Genomic DNA, 23,537 nt, shown 5'->3' with positions numbered 1-23,537 from the left:
TCTGAGTTAATAAAAATAAAAATGAATGTCGTGGTTATTTTTTTGAAAAGACTGTTTCATGTGGGCATGAAACTCATCTTTAGTAGCCCCAATGTTGTTTTTTAAAATATTAATTACATCAGTTCCTATTTATTTACAGGTTTTCCTTTTGTTTTTATAAACCTTATACTTCTTTAAAATAGGACTCAGGCTGGGTGTGGTGGCTCATGCCTGTAATCCCAGCATTTTGGAAGGCTGAAGTGGGAGGATCACTGGAGCTAAGGAGTTTGAGAACAGCTTGGGCAACATAGTGAGACCTCAGCTCTACTAAAAAAAAAAAAAAGAAAATTAGCCGGGTGTGGTGGTGCATGTCTGTGGCCCCAGATACTTGGGAGGCTGAAGTGGGAAGATCCCTTGATCCTGGGAGTTTGAGGCTGCAGTGAGCTATGATCACACTGCTGCATTATTCCAGCCTGGATGACAGAGTGAAACCCCTGTCTCCATAAAATTTTAAAAATCAAAAAAATAAAATAGGGCTCAGAATCACATAATAACCAAAGGTATTGGTTATTATGTGATATCGCACATAAATATATGTGGAAGATTAGAAAGTAAAATAAAGTATCAGTGAAATAAAGTACTGGTTCACAATCCTGAACATGAGGCATAGATGCTTACTTGAGGTTAACTGGATTCTTGTAATTATTAGCTCGCAACCTGTTCAGCAGGCTCTCAGTGATACACAGCACAGTCAAACTTCTTATTTTGACTATTGACATTTCTATTTTTTCCTTCCACAATAACCTATTAAGTCTTCTCCCCCTAGGCTTGTGTTCTGTTTCTCTTCTCTTTTCATTCCTCGTTTGTTTTTGCTTTGCATTCACAGAATTATAAGTATTTTGCTCCTCACTCGAGGCCACCAGGGAGAAAAGACCATTTACATTCATCTCTACATTGCACATTCTATATACTCTTACCAATAGGACTGTATAACAGAAGTATTGAATTTTAGCAATATTAGGGACTTTTATGATCACTGAAGATGACAGAGGTTAACAGACTTGGACAAGATTATTATGCCTGCGTGGAGACTGAGTTGAGACTAAACCAGATCTCTTAATTCCCTGGATATGGCCAAAGATCTATGGTGAAGAACTGTCGTATATATTAGAAATGTTTTTCCTCTCCCTACAGATTCATGTTCCTAGGATTCCTCTAGGATTTCAATTTCTCTCAATAAGCTCCAAAGATCTAAGTTATCTTCTCTTCCAAACTTTTTTGTTCCATTTGCTCTCCAGCTCAGGAAAGAATCTGGGCCACAGCTGGGGGCAGCTGGGCTTGGAAGCGTCCGCCGTGGGTGCCACAGCTGTAGATCCCTGGATTGTGAGTGTCAGTCCTGACAATTACACAGTCTGTGATTTGTCTGTGTATTTATATAATGAAGATGAAATTCGGTTTGTATTTAATTATTATTTTGATAATTTGGTGGTTTTTAATCATTTGCCAATTGTTTTTTTTTTAATTCCTTTTCCTTTGATTTTATTCTTCCTCTTAATGCAGCAATTAAATACCACTTCTTGAAGCTCACAAATGGAAAAAAATTAGCAAGTCTCATTTAGGAAAAAAAAAAAAGTTGCAGGAAATGGTACAACGGCCCTATCAGCTCCTTCTCTCAGGCGATGCCCAGAGATTAAGGAAGCAAGGTGTAGGGCAGAAAAGGAGCATTTAGAAATCTAAGCAGCTGAGTGTCAGGATTCAAGGGTCCCAAAGAGAAGGTGGACAGCAGAAGCAGGAGGCGGACACTTTATCCTCGAGATGCAGGACATTAAAGATAAAAAGGATAGAGAGAGCGGGAGAAGCTATGAAGGCAGCAGCCTAGGCATCCACTGCCCTGCACCTGAATGGAGCACTGCTAAAGGCTGTCAGAATCAGAAGATCCAACAATATTCGTCAAAGATCACAAAAAGAAAGAAGAGATTTTCTGCCTGTTAGACTGTGTGAGAAAATGCCAGAGAGGCTCCTGGGCAGAGCCTGTAAAACTCTGAGTTCTAGCAAAGCTTCAGTCTGAAGACACTCCTTATGTGGGTCACATGGTGCCAGGAGGGGCACTGAACAGTCATCCTGATTGCTTTTAGGACAGAGATGAGTCATTAATGAGATCCTTCAGTCTTTAAAGTTCTGGGAAATGTCCCTTTCCTTTCCTCTCTTTTTTGACATGATTGTCTCTGATGCACCCATGCATTGCCTTCCCCGTGTTATTCATACATTTGTTTAACAATGTATGAATGTTTAACAAATATTGAGTGTCTCTTAAATGTCAGGCACTGTACTATATTCTGAGACAAAAGAACTGGCTGCTACCCAGGTGCTCACAGCTCAGCCTGGCAGATACCCAGAAAGGTCAGTCATTAAATAGCGTACAGGGGGAATCAAGAAAGGGTTAACTCCAGTGAGAACAGGGAGGAGGGGACATTGGGCATATAGTTAAGGGAGAATCCATAAATGAGGGTATTTTTGAGCTGGGTCTAGCAAGAAAGTAGGAATTTCTCAGGAGGACTAGGAGGGTTAGAATAATCCAGATCTTAAGGCAAAGTTGAAAGCGAGAATCAAAGTTTTAAGATCTATGATTTTCTCTAAGTTCTAAAAATAGATGTTTAAAAATCACAGGAGACGTGATGGTTCTTCAAAAGTTCTTAATTACTTTTCATTGATAAACTGTTGAGATTAGTTTGGATTTTAGACATAATGTTATTTTTAATCATTAAAACAGATTAATTTGCTTATTATCAAATAGACCCCCAATTTGTACTCCAGCATTCAATAGAAACTAGAAGTCTGGATAACTCTTGCTTCAATCAGTGAGATTCCTACTCCCAAATGTTTTGAAAATATATTATAGCAAGTTGAGTCAACCCAATTGAACACAGTCTGTAAGAGCTCCAAATTCAATTCCTAGCTTGCATCCTAAATCTTATAAAACTATTACAGTTACAGCTTCAACTAAGAAACAGGTAGGTAGCTCTTTGATTTTTGATTGACTATGTTCACAAGCAAATGTACAGATGAAGCAATCAAACAGACACAGCTTCGTACAGTGCAAAGCTCTCAGATTATTTCCATTAACAGCTAGAAGCTTAATGGTCATGCTTCTTGAGCTACAAATGGTCTCCTAATCCTCATACTGAGGATGTCATCTTTTCTTTCTATAAAGCTTTAAGCAATGCTGGTGAATATTCTGCTTATAACCAATGCCACTGGTCTTAGCCAGTTTTCCCTCTATTTGTGTTTGCCAGCTCCATTTTTGGCACCACTATTTGTCAAATCTGAAATCTTTTTGCAAGTAGGCACAGAATGCTTTCTATACAATGATTTGAGCCCCCATAAAAAATAAGAAGCATGAAACTGAAGAACCAAAACGCAGAGCATCTATCACTGATTTCAAAAAACCCATGATCTCAAATCCACCAACTGTTATTTGTATGAATTTGGGGTAGGCACTTAACTTCTTTGTGCCTCAACTCCTTCTGTGTAAAATGGGGGTGATAATTCTTCACAAGGCTCTTGCAGAGCTTAAATGTGATAAATTGTAGTATGTGTAGCTTAGCACAGGGCTGCCCTGTGGAAGTTGTTGGGTAATACCCATTCACTTTGGTTTCTGATGGAATTTTTTTAAACCAGCAATCTAAAGACACTGAATAAAACATAATGCCTAGGATTTAATAAAAATATCATTCCTTTATGCTTACATTCATTAGTAACATGTCATAACTAATGCCTTTGATACAAGAGTAAAAAGCATAATTTCCAAGTAAACATAGTCAAAAATGATACCTGAGGGAAATTGAGAAAGTGCAATATTGCATGAATTCAAAAATTATAACACAGTTCTTAATTCTGAGTTAATGAAAATAAAAATGAACGTTATATGTGGTTATTTTAATTGGAGCCTATATCAAGCTGTTTAAAAATAGTCAAATTTTCAGAAACAATTCTTCAGTATCCAATTAACATTTGGATCAAAGTACATTTCCCCCCACACATAATTTGAAGCAATAAAATCAGCCTACTCTTGGAGCTCACAAATAATTTGTTCAATGACTTCCTGTCTTAAAAAGAGACTTGCTTAAGCCCATATCTAAGGAGTCAATAAAATGTAAATGTCTCAGGAACCAAAACAAAAAGAGACAAAATTAATAGTATTTTAATTCATTAAATCCCCCTCCCACATAATACAATACTTCCAACTCGCTAATTAGCGAAATTCCAAGATTCTAGGAATTGATGAAAATGTTCACAGTGAAATTCAATCTGTTTCTTTATGAAAATTACTTGAGTTATTATTCACCACAGAATAATAGAAACTGACATTCAGTTGGCTCTACCAAGAGTTCACAAACACCCAGAAACGACTCCATCTTCCCTCTAACATGAGGGTGGATTGCTCATGATGTGAGGTACAGCATCTGCCCTCAAAAGTAAAACAAATAATCATACCACATACCCACCTACTTTTTGCCTATAAAAATAGTTTTCCAGAGAGTTGACTTTTAAAGACAGTAGACATAATAAAAGATGTCTGCTAATTTTCTCTCATCTCATCGTTTTAAAATCCTCAGCCTGAACAGCTTCTCTCCCAGGTTACACTGCTTGTAATTAGTCACAAATATCTTCAAGACAGATAATCTCACAAGAAGCCCCTGCAGATGGCTTAAAATACAGTAAAGAAAACCAGGAAGAAAAAACTTTTTATTCACATTTTTCTTCAACCAGATTTGCTAAATGAATGAAATTATTTTAATTTTCAAGACCACTAGCCACAGTCACAAATTAGTTTGGTCAATCACAGTAAAATAAGAAGAAATTTCTTTTTTTTTTAATACTGAAAGTAAGTTCAAGGGGACTAGGGAAGAGTTGGAGAAATGGCATCTTAAAAAAAAGACATTTTAGCTCCTGTAAGGACCTCATGACACATAACATAGGGAAGTAAAAACTAGAAGACTCATTTTCTGCATACTTTCAAAAATGCTTCAGTACATATGATCCTCACTGATTTAAATTATTAAAATACGTGATTGAATAAACTTTCTAGACAACACATTTGTCCTGGTGCATGGGACACCTCACATGGTATTGTAGAAAATTCTCGCCAGGCACGGTGGCTCACACCTGTAATCCCAGCACTTTGGAAGGCCGAGGCAGGCAGAGAGCTTGAGCTCAGGAGTTTGAGACCAACCTGGGCAACATGGAGAAACCCCAGCTTTACTAAAAATAAAAAATTCAGCCCGGCAAGGTGGCATGCACCTGTAATCTCAGCTACTCGGGAGGCTGAGGCACAAGAATTCCTTGAACCTGGGAGGTGGAGGTTGCAGTGAGCTAAGATCATGCCACTGCCTTCCATCCTGGGTGACAGAACAAGGCTCTGTATCCAAAAAAACAAAAACCAAAACAAACAAACAAAAAAAAAACAAAGGGAAGGGAAGGGAAGGAAAGGGAAGAAAGGGAAGGGAGGGGAGGGGAAGGGAAGGGAAGGGAAAGGAATTATCTTAAGGTCAGCACATCATGAGTAGAAAATTCAAAGTGCATGCCTGGTGATGAACCACTAAAATCTATATTTTTCCTAGCTAGAAAGTACTTGACCATATTAATGATCATGTAAAATAGGACCAACACTTCATTCTGCCAAGATGCTGCTATTAGAAGCCTCCTGCATTTGTGCCACCATTACGCAGTCACAGCCCCTCATTCAAGCTCTTCAATTAGTCATTCATTAATTGAACAAGTGTATATCAAGCCAGGGTCCTGGGCACTGGGGAGTTAACAGAGAATGTGATTTGAGTGCCTTCCGTCAAAGGCATTCATTCTGTCTAGTGATGGAGACAGAGGCGTAAAGGGGCAAATACAACATGCAATAATAATGCAGTGAAAGAAAGGACTGTGCATGTGAGAACACAAAGGAGAGCCACCAAGCCCACCGTAGAGGACATCACAAAAGCCAAACTGTGAAGAGGAGGTTAAAGAGAGGTAAGAAAAAGGCTGTTTCTAGGCAGTTGAAACAGACACATTAGAAAGAATGGCAGATTCTTGAATTCTTAGGACTGCTGGACTATTAGGATTCAGTAGAGAGAAGGACAGCAAGAGTTGAAGCAGAAGAGGTAAACTTGGGTTACATTTTGAAGGGTTGCATATTCCATGACAAAACATTTAGACTTTTATTAAGGGCAATGCAGAGAAATGGAAGGGCATTAAGCAGAAGAATGACATGATCAGATTTTCATTTTAGAAAGCTGACAGTTTGGATATTAAATTGGATGGAATTAAGAATAGATATCTGGAAAGCAGTTTAAGAAAGGACTGCAATGGCCTAGGTAGTAGATGATGATGGCCAGAAGCTGTGGGAATGGAGTTGGAGAGAAGAAAACAGAATCAAGATACGTGAGGAAGGTCAAAAAAAGAAAAGAAAAGAAAGGAATGGAAAGGAGAAGAGAAGAAGAGAAAGGAAACGGAAAGAAACAAAACACAGGAGACAAAGAAAATTTGTGGAGATGGTTGGTATATTGCATTTAGTTTCTAACAGGTTGAGTTTGAAGTCAATATTAGTCCCTTTTGTACAATCAGCACATAGCTTTGAGATAACTGTCTGGACCTCACAAGCTAGGCTGAGGCATCTCTAAATTTGGAAAACATCTGTATGCAAATTATTACTTAAGCCCAAGGAAAGACAGAAATCACAGGTAGAAAGTGTAGAATTCAAAGAAAAAAGATCAAAATGCCGGGCGAGGTGGCTCACGCCTATAATCCCAGCACTTCGGGAGGCAAAGGTGGGCAGATCACAAGGTCAAGAGATCAAGACCATCCTGGCCAACATGGTGAATGCCATCTCTACTAAAAATACAAAAATCAGCTGGGCATGGTAGTGCATGCCTGTAGTCCCAGCTACTTGGGAGGCTGAGGCAGGAGAATCACTTGAACCTAGGAGGCGGAGGTTGCAGTGAGCCAAGATGGCGCCACTGCACTCCAACCTGGTGATAGAAACTCTGTCTCAAAAAAAAAAGCAAAAGACTAAACATTAAGGGACACCAACATTTAGAAATGGGTAAAGATGGCAGAGAACAAAGGGAGTTGGAGAAAGAGACATAGGAGAATCAGAGTAAGTGTGAAGGAAGCCAAAGAAAAACATTTCAAGAAGGCAGCAGTGGTTAAAATTGGTACATGCTGCCAAGTTGTCAATTGAAATAAAGGTAGAAAACCACAGTGGATTTAACAAAAAGGAGGCAGATGGCAAATGAGTTGGGGATCTTGGTAGTATAAATGCTTGATTGGATTGAATCAGGATGTGTCTACGTGGTGAGGAATTGAAGTCAGTGGTGTAGAGAACATTTTTATGAACACTAATTGTCCACTTCTGGAAATATACACCAATAAAAACAAAAATGTTAGATGTGGTATAACAGCAGGTGATGACGAGCTCTAGGACGAAGCCAGGGGTGGATGGTGGCAGAGAAGTGATGATGAAGTTCACTAGTATTGAGGAAGTCAAGAGACCAAAAAACTGGAGTGTTGAGTGGATCATTTTTTAAGACACTGACATTACCCTAGACTTGGGGTAAAGGAGATACAGGAGCCAGACAGCAAAGCCTTTACTACATGAAGAACAGAAGTAGGAAGGTAGTGCTGACAGTGATGGGGTAGTGGGTTTTATAACCAGACAGCATGAACCTCACAGGACCGTGGATAAGAGGAAGAAGAAACGTTACCTGTAAAAGGCACAGGGAAAATAGAGGGGTCTCAACCCCAACTACTGACTCTGAAAACACAGGTTGCAGGCAAATAAGCAAATCCATCCTCCCATCTTCCTTCCCATCCTCCCTCCCTTCCATCTTCCCTCCCCCCTTCCTTCCGTCCCCCTCCCCCTCCTCTCCCCTCTCCTCTCCTCCCCTCCCCTCTCCTTCCTTTCCTCTCCTCTCCTCTCCTTTCCCTTCTTTCCTTCCTTCCTTCCTTCCTTCCTTCCTTGCTTCCTTCCTTCCTTCCTTCCAGAAGCATTTCTTGGGTGCCTGCTAGTGCTGGGGCTGTGCTAGATGCTAAGAAAATTCTGGGTAAACAAATCACATGGGGTTCCTGCTCTCATAGAATCTACAATCGGAAGGCTGCTAGAAAATTAAAATTCTTGAGCTGGAGGAAGGTGTCAGTTAAGACCCAGGGATAAAGACCCTCTACTAAAGAGGAGGATGAAGGAAAGGACTTTTGTTCACTAGGAAACAAGCACTCCAAAAGATGTCGTGCATAGGTTTTGGAGAGAGGGAGTGAGGGAGGCTGGGCCAAGGGGAGGACACACAGAGCAGGTTGGGCTGCAGAGAACAGATAACCTACCTTGGAGGGGCTTCCATTTTGAGAAGCACCTGAGAATGTCAGAGGTGTGCAGTCTGGAGGAACTGGTCAACTGGCCTTGGGGTTTCCAATGGAATTGATTCCACACCTGCAGGTTTGAATTCACTGAGCTTCCCCAGGGAATCCAGGTGTAGCGCACAACAGTCACTCCTGGGGATAAGGGAGGAGAGAAACTGGCTCTCATTGCAAAACAGCCCAGGTCTAGCTAGCTTGTATTCTTGGGGAAATCTAAGTGTAGGGCAGCAGCAGGAAACATGGAGATGGATTCATCACGTATCAGTCACAGAAACAATCCCCGGAGCTCAGCAAGAAGCTGGGCCTTTTGCAAAGAGGCCAGCCAGTTCTAGATTGGGCTTCTGAAGGAACTCACTTCTGACTTTAGTTCTCTGTATCTTTCTGACCTTTGTATCTTCTTTAAATCTTCATTTTCATCATTTCCTCCACTATTTATGAATGCTCCCTCTGGGATCTATTCTCAATCCCTTCCTAATAAGGAAATGTCCTTCCTTAATTGTCTCAACTATCTTGGTGCAGATAGTCATTCCCTTCTTGACATGTCCTGGCCCTACTCAAGAGGCTCATGTGTGGTCATGTGGGAGCATATTTCCTTGAACTGTTCTCTGTTGCCTGGACTTACACCAAAGATACAGTCTTTATCTCTCTCCTGAAACCCACCCCATTATCATCTTCATAAAACCTCTGAGAGACCCCAGTGCCCCAGGATCCGAAGCCCAGGAAACAAAAGATGCATCTCCATCTTCATCCAAAGTCTGGAATAAATAAATGCCAATACTTCCCTGGACATCTTCATTACCTTCATTTATTTTTTATTCCTCAAGACTCCTCTGGCTACTGTCATCGCCCCAGCAGCCTTCTTGTTTCTAGCTAGTTTCCTCTCCAGAGATTCAAAGAGGTATTTTTCTTTGCCAAATCAGATTACGTTCCTCTGAGATGAGTGCCATGCATACTAGAAAGTGCTTTATCAAATGAGATAGTCCCCTAGGCCCTGCGTAGTCTTCGCTTCCTTCCTGATGGTTTCAAGCCTTTCTGCCAGTTTTTCTAGTTTCTTCTTTACCTCCTATAGTTTTTTACTTCCTTCACTATAATCAGATACTCCCTTGGCACACTTTGCTTAATCCTTCCTTTGCCATCTCTATCTCTCCTTCCCTACAGCTGCTGGCAGAGAATGATTCCCATTAACCCTTTACCTTGACCCCTGTTTTCTGTTAAGTTTTCAGCTACTAAAATTGTAGCTGAAGCAAATCATTTTGTCCCACCAACTAGGAAAGGTGCATACACACCTCTGCCCCAAACTTCTATCTAGAATGTCTCTTAGTCCATTCACGTTGCTATAAAAGAATATCTGCCAGGCACTGTGACTCACACCTGTAATCCCAGCACTTTGGGAGGCTGAGGTGGGCGGATCACAAGGTCAGGAGATCGGGACCATCCTGGCTAACACGGTAAAACCCTGTCTCTACTAAAAATACAAAAAATTAGCTGGGCGTGGTGGCGGGCGCCTGTAGTCCCAACTACTCGGGAGGCTGAGGCAGGAGAATGGCCTGAACCCGGGAGGCGGAGCTAGCAGTGAGCCAAGATCGCACCACTGCACTCCAGCCTGGGTGACAGAGCAAGACTCTGTCTCGAAAAAATAAAATAAAATAAAAAATAAAGAATATCTGAGGCTGGGTAATCTATAAAGAAAAGGGGTTAATTTGGCTCACGGTTCCTCAGGCTGTTCAAGAAGCAAGGCACCAGCATCTGCTTCTGGGGAAGCTTCAGCTGCTTCCACTCATGGCTGAAAGCTAAGCAGAGCCAGTGTGTGCAAAGATCACATGGTGAAAGAGGAGGCAAGACAGAGGGGATGGAGGTGCCAGATTCTTTTAAACAGGCAGTTCTCACTGGAACTAATAGAAGAACTTACTCATTACTGCTTGGATGGCACCAAGCCATTCATGAGGGATCTGCCCCCATGACCCGAACATCTCCTCTTAGGCTCCACCTCCAACACTGGAGATCAAATTTCAACATGAGATTTGTAGGGAACAAACAAATGGCAGCAATAAGTTACTGGAGGGCAGGGAACATGGTGAATGACATTCAGTGTAGTCCTTCAAAAAGTGGTGTTTGTAAAGGGCATAAAATATCAGGAAAGTCTGAACCATGAAAGGAAGGTAAGTATGGGTTAGCCTTCTCTTTATTTGTTTGCAGACAAAATCAGATGCATATTATTTTATTCATTGCTCATTGTATTTGCACCCACTGCTGATGAACTTCTTGCCAGTCCTGTCTCCCATCCATCTACAAGGCTATGATTTATCATTCACTCTACCATGGGCTCCAGGAGTACTTCCACACCTGTCGGTCACATTTTCCAAGGCTACAAATTATCGGTGGGCCAAGTACAGTTACAAATAGCCTTCACAAGCTTTGCTGGTAAAGAAAATACATCATTTCTCTTTCCCTTTCAATGTGCTGTAATATATATACAGCTAAAACTCCTCAGACGGTTCATTAGCTTTCTCACTTGGGTGAGAGCTTCTCAGCAGGACACACGGAAACATCATGTATTGAAGTCTATTGCCAATTTCTCCATGATAATCAGTAATATGAAAAAGTTACGACCAATTTCCAAAGATGCCCAATTTATGCCTAGGAAGTATAGGAACACAAGCCAGACAAACCGAGCAACTCGACGTGATGTTATTACATACATTAGCACAAACATTCTGTCCAGAATGGAAATAACTAGAGTGTCATATAATGTGCTTTCAAATAATTGAACTCAAACATTTATCCTATCATTTGTTTATTTATAAAATATTTATTAAGCACCTACTATGTGCTAAGTTATATTATAGGCACTGGGGATACATCGACATGGAAAAAAGTAGTTTTAAAATTCATGTTTTGTTGGCAACAAAAGACAATCAAGAGACATTGAGCTCTAAAGGGGCATCCCCTCCTGCGTCAGTCTTTGGAGGCTGTGATGGTTAACTTTTTATATGTCAATATGACTGGCCCATGGTCCCCAGATATATAGTCAAACATTATTCTGGAAGTTTCTGTGAAGGATTTTTTTTGGGTGATCCTAATATTTAAATCAGTGAACTTTGAATACAGCAGATTGCTCTCCATAATGGAGCTGGGCCTCATCCAGTCGGTTAAAGGCCTTAACAGACCCAAGTCTGACCTCCCTCAAGCAAGAATTCTGCCAGCAAGCAGCTGGCCTTCAACCTAAACTACAACATTGGTTCTTCCCTTTATCTCCAACTCACAGGTTCAAAATCACAGGAATATGTACCTTCCAGCCTCCATAATCATGTGAGCCAATTATTTAAAATAAATCTTTTGACATACAAGTACATCCTATTGGTTCTGTTTCTCTGCAAAACCCTAACACGGGGTAAATGCTTTTAATAACTAAGACTGATGGAAAATTACCCAGTCCCAGCATAACCTTCCGTAATCATTTCCATCATGCCTTTTCCACGTACTTCCCAGGGCTGCCTTTGGAGAGACTTGTTATGCCTACTTCTCCCAAAACACCCTTTATGATACACTCGGGATGCGACCCTGTCTGGCTTAACAGTGGTCAATAAAAGTGTGACCTTTGGAAGCTCCAACTTTGTCACCTTCCACTGACACCTCCTCAATTTCCCTTCCCCTAGTGTGTCCTCTGAGGAATTAGGCAGTTCAGCTGGCTCTAGAGGTAACCTACACATCTTTCTAGAAGCAAAAATTGACCTTTAGACCTGAAAAACGCCAATTTGGATCCTCTTCTGGGGTCACCCAAATGTTAAAAGCAGCGGGAAAGTACCCAAGAAGAAATGGCATTCAGTTCTGTCCCTGGGACAACAGGCTACCTAGTAGCTCACATCCTTGCTAGCTGGGGGCTACAGACACCACTAAGGCCATCCCCTATCTTTAAAGCCCATAATTCCAAGGTTGCCAACTTCCTGTTGGATTTGGCCCTGATCCAGGCCCATCTAGCTGTTCTAAGTGGTCTCGTCTTTGTGGATGCTTCCCTTCTACGTGGGATGTGTTCTTCCACTTTTCTACTAGAAAACTATCTCTCCTTCCAGCCCTGCCAAATGTTAGCATTTTTCTGAAGTCTTTCCTGATCCCTGTCAGGAAACATTAACTACTCCCTCTCCTGGGTTCTCAGAGACATTTATTTTTTTTTTTCTGAAAATTAAAACAACACGCAAAAACATGGTCCTATTAACCAAACATTCAAACATCAGCCCAATGAAAGTTGTTTTGGAAAACTAGTAAAACTATGAGACAGTGCAAATTTTACTGGCTATATTTTATCCTGCCTTCTATAGCCACTCTTTATAAATGCAATTTGCAAATAAAAGTTTATAACACTGGGTAACTCAGGGTAATAACCCTCAAATTTAAGAACTCCAAAACATAAAATCTTGCAGTGTCAGAGAAGTGGCTGCTGATCATTTCTCTCAACATAGCAGCGTGTGAGCTCCATAATTATAATTGTTGTATTCTAACTACCCTCATTTCCTCTATTCTTTAGATCCTTCATCCCTTAGAGCAAATATAATTGTACAATTCAGGCAGCCATCAATTCATTCCAGTGGAATGTCTTAATAGAAATGTCCCCTCTTGCTGGGAATTTTTAGAAGTGGCACATGTGAAATCCATTTAAATGCCAGAGAATTTTTTTGTCCCTCAGGTTGATTTTAGTACATATCACATGCCTGGCTTAGAGGTGAATTGCAAAAGAAATAAGAAAACCAGGCTAATCATGGAAATAGGTGTTGGGTGGAATTACCGATCATACTGTGGTAAGAACTACCGTAAACACTGATTTTTTTTTTTTTCAAAGTTCATCTGTCACCTGGGGCCCATCAGGAGGCAAGTTCCAATTTTGTATTAAGTTCAACTTTCTGGTTTCCTATGCAGGCCACATTCAAACGTACCATAAAGATGATGCCAAAATCATCTTGCAGAAATTCCCAGCAATCTGTGTTTTTCTCCCCTGCCCCACACTGCTTCAGTGGTGCTAGTTTTGGCTTTGATCCCAGGCAATCCAACCCATCACTTTCAACCCTTCTGCAGAGGCAGAACAGGTTTGGGCAGCCTGCACATTCTGCTCTCCTCTAGCAGTTGGCACAGCAAAGGGACTGTCCCTTGAACACATGGTCAAGAATCAGATCTCCCCTGAACCCCTACACTCCCAAACCTTCTTGTTATATGATGATCATGGCCCACCCAATGGGAATTTCTCAGTCTTCATTGTACCTTGGCTGTTCATCAGTGTTTGATAGAGTCAACCCCTGATACAGTTTGGATATTTGTCCTCACCCAAATCTCATGCTGAATTGTAATTCCTAATGTTGGAGGTGGGGCTTGGTGGGAGGTGTTTTTGTCATGAGGGTGGATTCCTCATGAATGGCTTGGGCCATCCCCTTGGTGATAAGTGAGCTCTTGCTCTGAGTTCACACAGGATGTGACTGCTTTAAAAGTGTGTGGCACCTCCCCCTCCACTCTTTCTCTCACTTCTGCTTTCGCCATGTGATGTGCCTGCTTCTGCTTTGCCTTCTGCCATGATTGGAAGCTCCCCAAGCCCTCCCCAGAAGCTGAGCGGATGCAAGCACCATACTTTTCTACACAGCCTGAAGAACAGTGAGCCAATTAAACCTCTTTTCTTTATAAATTACCCAGTCCCAGGTAATTCTTTATAGCAATGCAAGAACAGCCTAACACAACCCCCTTCTCCTGAAAACAATCATGCCTATGATTTCCAAGATGTCACACTCTTCTAGCGTCCTGCTCAGTGGCAGGCCCCTCCAGACATCTACCCCTCACACTTCTCCCTATCAATAGATGGCACAAGGACTTATTGACTCAGGCAAAAATCTTGCATGCATTTTTTGATATTTATCATGTACTCAAACCCCAGAGCGACTCCACCAACAACTCCCATCAGCTTGATCTCCAGCTCTACGATGACTTCCTGGCACTATCACTCAGTCCAAGTCCCATTGCTTCCTACCTGCGCCACCATTACATTAGCCCTTAATTGGCCTGCCTGCCCCTAAGGTCAGTTCTCTAGAGCATTGAGTGATGGTTTTAAAGAATAAATCAAACTACATCACTCACCTGCTCATAAATCACCCAAAGACTCCTGACTTCCTGTGCCTGGACTCCATATCCCCAGATGGCCTCATCCCATCACTTGTTTCATTCTTACACCATTTCAAGGCCACCTCTTAGTGTTGCTCTACCTATCCACAACAGAGCTCTATCCCCTGTGCCTATATCCCTAGCCCCTATTCTGCTTTATCACCTAGATTACATGTGGATTTGTTTGATGTTTGGCTCTCCCACTAAATTTAAGCAGAGGGAGGCATGAACTTTCACCAACTCGTATACCACTGACCCCCATCCTGGGAGTGGCTGGCAGCTCAGGCCACCCAGAGCTGGCTCTGCATGTACAGCCTATGTGCTTACAGACCAGTGTCTCCTGAAGCAACCTACTGATGTCATCTCTGAGATGCTGAAAAGGGGGGTTAGTGAAATAAGGACCTGAATGTGCTTTCTTTGTTCAATGAACTACTTGTAGTCTCTTTATTTCCCTTGCCTTGACCTGAAGGATTGAACAGGCATGAAATTAGTCAGAATCATTCCAATTGCAAATAGCCAATTTCAAAAGGCATAAGCAGAAAAAAAATAAGGAAAAGAGAGAAGAAAGGGAGGAAGAGAGGCAAGGAAGGGGGAAGAAGCCATCCTACGGTGACTTGAGGCATGGCTGGATCCAGGATCTTTAAAGAATGTTGTCAGAGTGTGTATTCTCTCTGACCCCTCACCTCACTTTTTCCTTTTTATGAAGACTGTGTTCTCTCTTCCTATGCTTCCTCTGTGCAGCAAGGGAATAACTTTTGCCAATCCAGAATTACATTAATTAGTTAATTCAGTAGAAAGAGGCTTCTTTCTGCTAGCAGCCTTAAATTCATCCCAGGAAGACACAGATTGCGGCTATGTGTACTACTGGACCAATTACTGGACAGCTAAACTACAGAAAGGGTAGGACATCCATATCTAAAAGAGCAAACTAACATTTGATGGATGTCTGCTTTATCCCAAGCATAAAATAAGATTTTTATTGTTCCTGTTTTTTGTTGTTGTTGTTTTTGAGACAGAGTCTTGCTCTGTCCCCCAGGCTGGAGTGCAATGGCACGATCTTGGCTCATTGCAACCTCTGACTCCCTGGTTCAAGCAATTCTCCTGCTTCAGCCTCCCAAGTAGCTGGGATTACAGGCATGCGCCCATTTTTTTTTTTTTAATCTCAACCTACATACAACCTTTAGGTCTAGAAGAAAACTTTAGGATGGCTACAAGGATGAGATGGGGTCCTCTGAGACAGACCTGGGTGGAACTTTTACATTCAAAAATCAAAACAAGGCCAGGTATAATGGCTCATGCCTGTAATCACAGCACCTTGGGAGGCCAAGATGGGAGGACTGTTTGAGCCTAGGAGTTCAAGACCGCCCTGGGCAATATAGCAGGACCCCATCTTTACAAAAATTTTAAAAAATTCACTGGGTGTGGTGGTGCGCATCTGTAGTCCCAGCTAGTTGTAAGGCTGAGGCTAGAGGATTGCTTAAGCCCGGGAGCTTGAGGCTGCAGTGAGCCATGATTGCATCACTGCACTCGAGCCTGGGCAACACAGTGCCCTGTTTCAAAAACTAAAACAATCTAATACGTGCTTACATGACATAACCTACACCACAGGAGCCCTAAAACCAATCTCAGAAGACTACTGTGTAAAATAAGTAGAAATGAACAAATCAAAGTCAAAAGTGAATTATACAAATGAAAATGCCAACATATCTATTTCTCTATCAGCACTCCCTCCTTTGCTGTCATCTAGAGTTATGATTTTAAATGCCATTTAGCCACTGATGAATCTCATATCATTTCTCCAGCCTGACCTCTCCCCTGAGCTTCAGATTGGTGTATCCAATTTCCTACATGTCAGCTCCACTTACATAGGCATCTCAAATTTAAGATGTATAAAATGGAACCCCCCCATCTTCACCAAATCTCATCTCCCCTCAGTCTTCTCCTGCTCAGAAGGTGGCAACTCAATTTTGGTTCCCAGGCAAATATCCTTGGACTTATCCGTAACTCTTCTCTCTTTCACCTGGCATCTAATGTTTTCAGCCAATCATGTTGGCTCTGCTTCAGAATATATCTAGAGCTGAACTCCCAGCACTTCTCCGCTGCTGCTCCCACCTGCTGTAATTGCCAGCATGTCTCACTGGAATCACAAGGTGAGATCCACAGGATCTCTCAGGAGCCTCGTCCCGGGTCTCCCTGCCTCTACTCTGGCCTCTACAGTCAATTCCTAACCCAGCAGCCAGAGTGATCTTGTAACAACAAATGTAAGATTATGCCATGCCTTTGCTCATACCTCCTCCACACATTCCCATCTCATGTACAAAAAAGCAAAAGCCAGAAAGCCCTGCCGGACCTTTTCACTGGACCTCATCCCTTGTCCCTCTCTGACATCACTTCTCACCCTCCCTCGCTTGTTCTGCTCAAGCCACGCTGACACTCTTGTTATGAAACATACACAACTGACATGCACCCACTAGAGGTTTTTGCAACATAGTTTCTTCCACCTGGAATGCTCTGTTTCCTATATCTTTATCTACTTTTTTAAAAAACAAAATTGTGTAAATTTAAGAGTGCAAGTGCAATTTTGTTACATGCTCATATTGCATAGTGGTCAAATCTTGGCTTTTAGTGTATCGATCACCCAAAATAACATGCATTGTACCTATTAAGTCATTTCTCATCACCTGCCCCTTTCGAGTCTCCAATGTCTGTCATTCCATACTCTGTGTCCATGTGTACACATTGTTTAGTTCCCACTTATAAGTGAGAATATGTGGCATTTGACTTTATGTTTCTGAATTGTTTCACTTAAAATGGTGACCTCCAGTTCCATCCATGTTGCTGCAAAAGACATGACTTAATTCCTTTTTATAGGTGAATAGTATTTCATTGTGCATATATATCATATTTTCTTTATCCAATCATTCTTTACCTTCTCAGTTTAAAAGCAACCCATGCACCTGATCCAAAAATTCTTCTCTCCTTTCCCTACTTTACTTTTCTCTAGGGCACATCCCTCTATCTGATGTACAAATGTTTTATTTATTTGTATGTGTATTCCCTATTCCCCTCAGTATAATATAACCGCCATGAAAGTAGGGACTTTTTTTGCCTGTTTTGTTCACTACTATATCCTCAGGGCCTGAAATAGTACCTGGCACATAGTAGGTGCTCGATAAATATGTGCTGAATTAATTAATCAATATCTATCCATAAATTCTGTCTGCCCAAGAAAAGCAAAGAATAATGGCTTAAAGGAAAATCATCTGCCTCCTCACTGCTCACCATTTTCCTTCTTGGATTTGAAGAAATAGAAAAAAAAACATTTCTAAAGATATCTACTTTTTGAACCCAATATGAAAAAATAATGTGTTAAACAAGAACTGGCTGAAAAAGATACAAGAAAATGAAATATGTAACAACAAATAAAATCAGCAGGCACGCAGAAAATCAATTTATAATTGTAGAGAATAAACTTGAGAAGCATTTTCAGAGTAGAGGCCAAATAAATGACAATGTGAAAAATACACATAAGGCAATGACATATTTAAATGCCAAACCTTCGAAAGAAAACTGCCCAATGCAAGAACAAATGAATCAGTGAGAGGCAATAATCAGAGATATGAGAGAATAAAACATTCCAGACCTTAAAAAGCAAACTTGACATTAGAAATTGATAGTGTAACATCTTCCAGAGAAACTTAATGAGCAGAAATAAATATTAAAATATAGCCTCATAAAAATTTTAAACTTAAAGAATTTTTTCAACAAGTCCTAAAATTAACCAAAGTGGGGGAAAAATCAACTATACTTTTCTTTTCCATATCTCCTCTACAATAACAAATGCTAAAAACAAGGCAGAGTATTATGCGTGGAGGGAGAAGTTTATGATTCAAGGATTTTATATATATATCTACGTGCTATTTATATGTTAGAATGACTTATGTTTAATGATCATCCCTGCAAATGAATATTATAAAAAAATCAGCTACAAGATGAAAAAGTCTTATAAATTTGCCACACAGTAAGTTTTCTACAAAAATTAGCTAACAATATCATCCAGACCACCAAGAGATTAATAAAACTGTGAATCCAAAAAATAGAGACATTTTAGTAGAAAATAACTGTCAATGGGCACTGAAATCAGTTCTCTACCTAAAAGTACTTAAATTAATTCATTAATCACTATGAGAAAAATAATGTATTCTCACAAATGTAAATAATTTTATTATGATACAGTAACAGAATGAAAAACAGAAAGCAAAATTTCATCTTTTTTAATATGTGTACTATTTTTTATTCTGTTTTAGAATGAAAATAATTTTTTGTGTAAAATTCCATATTAAACTGATAGAAAAGTGGTAATCTTTGGGGGCAATGAGGAGAGGGGCAATGGGAGAAAATTTAGAAAAGCAAAGGACTAAACTTCTATTAAAACGTTAATGTGGCCGGGTGCGGGTGACTCACACCTGTAATCCCAGCACTTTGGGAGGCTGAGGTGGGCAGATCACTAGGTCAAGAGATACAGACCATCCTGGCCAATATGGTGAAACCCCGTCTCTACTAAAAAAAAATTAGCTAGGCATGGTGGTGCGCACCTGTAGTCCCAGCTACTCAGGAGGCTGAGGCAGAAGAATCGCTTGAACCTGGGAGGCAGAGGTGGCAGTGAGCTGAGATCATGCACTGTGCTCCAGCCTGATGACAGAGCGAGACTCCGTCTCAAAAAAAAATATGTTAATGTAAGTCTGGTAGAATTTAAAACACACTATTTGCCTTCCATACATAAAATCTGGTAATAAATATATCAAATGATGTGCAAGACATACCTAATAAAATTATAAGAGTCTTTTGAAGGACATTAAAGATTCAAATAAAGGGAAAGAAACCATGTTCACGGGTCAGAACACCCAATTTTGTAAAGATTTTAATTTTTTTTCAAATTGATCTTTGAATTAAATAGAATTCACTCAAAATCTCAGAAGTGTTTTTTTATGGATCTTGGCAAGCTGATTCCGAAATATATATGGAAGAACAAAGGCCAAGAATAGCCCAGAAACTGCTGAAGAAAAATAAGTTAAGGGCAGTTGCACCAACAGCTCTCAAAACTTATTATAGGCCGGGTGCGGTGGCCCATGCCTGTAATCTCAGCACTTTGGGAGGCTGAGGCAGAAGGATTGCTTGAGGCCAGGAGTTCAAGACCAGCCTGGGCAACACAGCAAGACTCCATCTCTACGAAAATTTTTTTTTAAATTAGCCAGGCATGGTGGTATGTCCCTGTGGTCCCAACTACATGGGAAGCTGAGGTGGGAGAATCATTTGTGCCCAGGAGTTTGAGGCTGCAGTGAGCTATGTTCACATCACTGCACCCCAGCCTGGGTGACAAAGCGAGACCCCATCTCTAAAATCTCTAAAAAACAACAACTTATCACAAAGGTGTAGTGATTAATTACCATAGTGTCACACTGGCTTAGGATAGACAACTGAAACAATACAGATGTAAACACTGAGTCTCTCATACAGGAAAACTTGATGTTTGGCAAAGGCGGCACTGGAGATCACATGAAAAGGGAGGGACAACTCAATAGGTGGTGCTGAGACAGCTGGTTGTCCATATAGGAAAAATAAAATTAAATCTGTGTGTCATACCACACTCACCATACTGCACATATCACAACAAAGGATCAAAGATTTGAGCAAAAGGTCAAAACCTAAAAAATTTAAACATACAGGAGAATGTCATTACAGTCTCAGACAGGGAAGAATTTCCTAAATAACATGTGCAAAGAAGTAAAGAAATAAATGATTGATACATTTGACTACCTTAAAATTAAGAATGTGTGTTCATAAAAATGTATCATGATGAAACTCTCATACACTGCCAGCTGGCATGTGAAGTAGTTCAACCACTTTGGAAAATAGTTGGGCAATTTCTTATGATAAAATGTAAATGTATGCCTATCATATACACAGCCATTCCACTCCTAGGTATTTAATCAAGAGAGAATGAAATATGTGTTCATGAGAAAACTTCTGGGAATGTGGGGTAAGTTCATGATCTTGATTATGTTGATGGTTGATTGTTTCATATGTCTATATGTCAAAATATGATTAATTATACATTTTAAATATGTGTCATTTATTGTATGTCAATTATAACTCAATAAAGGTGTTTAAATAAGATATCACAAAGAAAGTGAAAAGATAAGCCAAAAACTGAAAGGTATCTGTAACACATATAACCATCAAAGAAATGGTAATCATAATATATAAAGATCTCATTGAGCCCAATGAGAATAAAGCAAATAACCTAATTAAAAAATGAGCAAAAGACACAAAAAGGCATTTCACAGATAAGGGACCCAAAAATGGCAAATAAACATACAAGAAGATGCCACACTCTTATTAATAATTAGAAAAAAATATAATTTTAAAATTAAAATACTATACTATTTTACTTCCATAGATTTATAAAAATTTGAGTCTAACTATATAAAGTATAGGCAAGGATGCAGATCCAAAGAAATTCTTATACACTGCTGGAGAAAATTAAAGTGGTATGCCACTCTGTAATCCCAGCTACTCAGGAGGCTGAGGCAGAGAATGGCTTGAACTCGGGAGGTGGAGGTTGCAGTGAGCTGAGATCGCACCACTGTACTCCAGCCCCGGAGAGAGAGCTAGACTCCATCTCAAAATAAATAAATAAATAAATAAAATAATACAGCTTTATACTTTTAAATTGAAGCTCTGAATACTCTATAATTACCCTAGTAATTCTATTCCCAGGAACATGTTTTAGAGAAATCCTTAGATGTGTACTTTTGTAGACACAGACACCTATAGCAATATTCATAACAGCATTATTTAAAATAATAACGATTTTTTTTAAACTCAAATGTTTATCAACAAGAAACAAATAAATTGTGATATTTTCTTTAGAGGGGAAAAACACATACTGGGGCTTATGGAAGGAAAGGGTGGCGGGTGGGAGGAGGGAGAGAATCAGGAAAATAACTACCAGGTATAGACTTAATACCTGGGTGATGAAATAATCTGTACAACAAACACCCATGACACAAGTTCACCTATATAACGAGCCTGATATATGCCCCTGAACTTAAAATAAAGGTAAATAAATGTGCCATGATCTCTCAACAGAAAATTTATCATGATAAATATGAATAAGCCATATCTAAATGCAGCAACATGGATGACTCACAGAAACAATGTTGCAGGAGTTGCCAGTTGCAGAAATCACATAGTGTAAGAATATTTTTTAAAAAAATCCAAAAAATAATAAAATCAAACAAACTATTGTTTAGAAATTAAGTGTATGATAAAAAGTTTAAAACTTGGCCAGGTGCAGTGGCTTATGCCTGTAATCCCAGCATTCTCGGAGGCCAAGGCAGGTGGATCACCTGAGGTCAGGGGTTTGAGATCAGCCTTGCCAACCTGGTGAAATCCTGTCTCCAGTAAAAATACAAAAAAATTAGCCAGGCGTTGTGGCATGCACCTGTAATACCAGCTACTTAGGAGGCTGAGGCAGGAGAATTGCTTGAACCTGGGAGGCAGAGGTTGCAGTGAGCTGAGATCATGCCACTGCACTCCAGCCTGGGCCACAGAGTGAGACTCTGTCTTATTTAAAAAAAAAAAAAAAGGTTTAAATCTAAATTCAAAGGCAATGATAACTTCTAAAGTAAGAATAGTGCTTTCCAATGAAGGGAAGATAAGGGGAGGGCAGGGAAGAAAACATAAGTGCAGAGATTGGTCCAAGTAAGACTCCATTAAGTTAGGTGCTGATGTTCTCATTAAGTTGGGTTCCTACTAAGTTGGGAGGTTCCAGTGAAGTTGGCATTATAATAATAAAGAATTATTTTTATAATTCACATGTCTACATCAATGTTTCATATTAAATGTTACATGATAAAAACATATGAAAGAAAAAATGTGTTTTTCCTTATCATGATAAGGAACAATCAGGAATATATAGATATACTGAAAAATATTTAAAATGCAGTAAACTGCCAAGTAACAAAGAACAATTTATAAAAGACAAAATGCAACTGGAAAATATACAAGGACAAAGATTCAGTCTTTCTAACAACCAAAAATGATAATTGAAGCAGTAAGTTACTGCAAATTAACACATTTTTAATAATCTAGTGTCAGCTATTATACAGTTAAGTGCAGGCACTTAAAATCCTATAGGTGCCATATACTACAATTCAGGAGGCCCTCTCTATCTGGCGGGTACTATACCCACGGTTTCTGCATATGCAGATTCAACCAACCCCAGATAGAAAATATTCAGAAAAAAAAACATAACAACAAAAATAATATGAATTTTAAAACAAACACAGCATAACAACTATTTACATAGCATTTACCTTGTATTAGGTATTATAAGTAATCTAAAGATGATTTAAAATAAACAGGAGGATATGCAAAGTTTATATGCAAATACTATGCCATTTTATAGAAAAGACTCCAGCATCTACAAATTTTGGTATCTTCACAGCCCTGGAAACAATTCCCTGATGATACCAAAAATGATTGTACTACTGAAAAGCGATTTATCAAAGAATTTTTAAAGTATTAAATTTTAAATTTTAAACATATTCTTACATTTTGGCCACACATTTTGGCTCACACCTATAATCCCAGCACTTTGGAAGGTCAAGGAGGGAGGATCACTTGAGGTCAGCAGTTCGAGACCAGCCTGGCCAATATGGTGAAACTCCATCTCTACTAAAAATACAAAATTAGCCGGGTGTGGTGGCGGGCATCTGTAGTCCCAGCTACTTGGGAAGCTGAGGCATGAGAATTACTTGAACCTGGGAGGTGAATGGTGCTGTGAACTGAGATCGCGCCACTGCACTCCAGCCTGGGCAACAGAGTGAGACTAGGGTTCAAAAAAAAAACAAAAACATACACTATGTGTTTATTTGGAATAGTGAGAAGTGATATAAATGTTTAATATAAAATACATTAAGTAAATCATCATGTATCTCTCCAAAGTATGATGTAAA

General features: G+C 39.9%; 1 protein-coding gene across 1 annotated transcript in view, besides 1 other annotated feature; it reads right to left on the bottom strand.

The window, feature by feature from the left end:
* KIAA1217 overlaps positions 1-23,537 on the bottom strand; it is an 853,117-nt gene that overhangs the window by 791,393 nt on the left and 38,187 nt on the right. The window lies entirely within an intron of this gene.
* Positions 13,751-13,800: a silencer, noted in NCBI's record as "silent region_2220". NCBI's record gives its function as "represses an Ori minimal core promoter by ATAC-STARR-seq in GM12878 lymphoblastoid cells {active_cell/tissue: GM12878}" and the evidence as "EXISTENCE:reporter gene assay evidence [ECO:0000049][PMID:35858748]".

Source organism: Homo sapiens, chromosome 10 (assembly GCF_000001405.40).
Source record: "Homo sapiens chromosome 10, GRCh38.p14 Primary Assembly".
NCBI classification, from domain to species: domain Eukaryota; kingdom Metazoa; phylum Chordata; class Mammalia; order Primates; family Hominidae; genus Homo; species Homo sapiens.
This window is presented reverse-complemented; position numbering and strand designations above follow the sequence as displayed.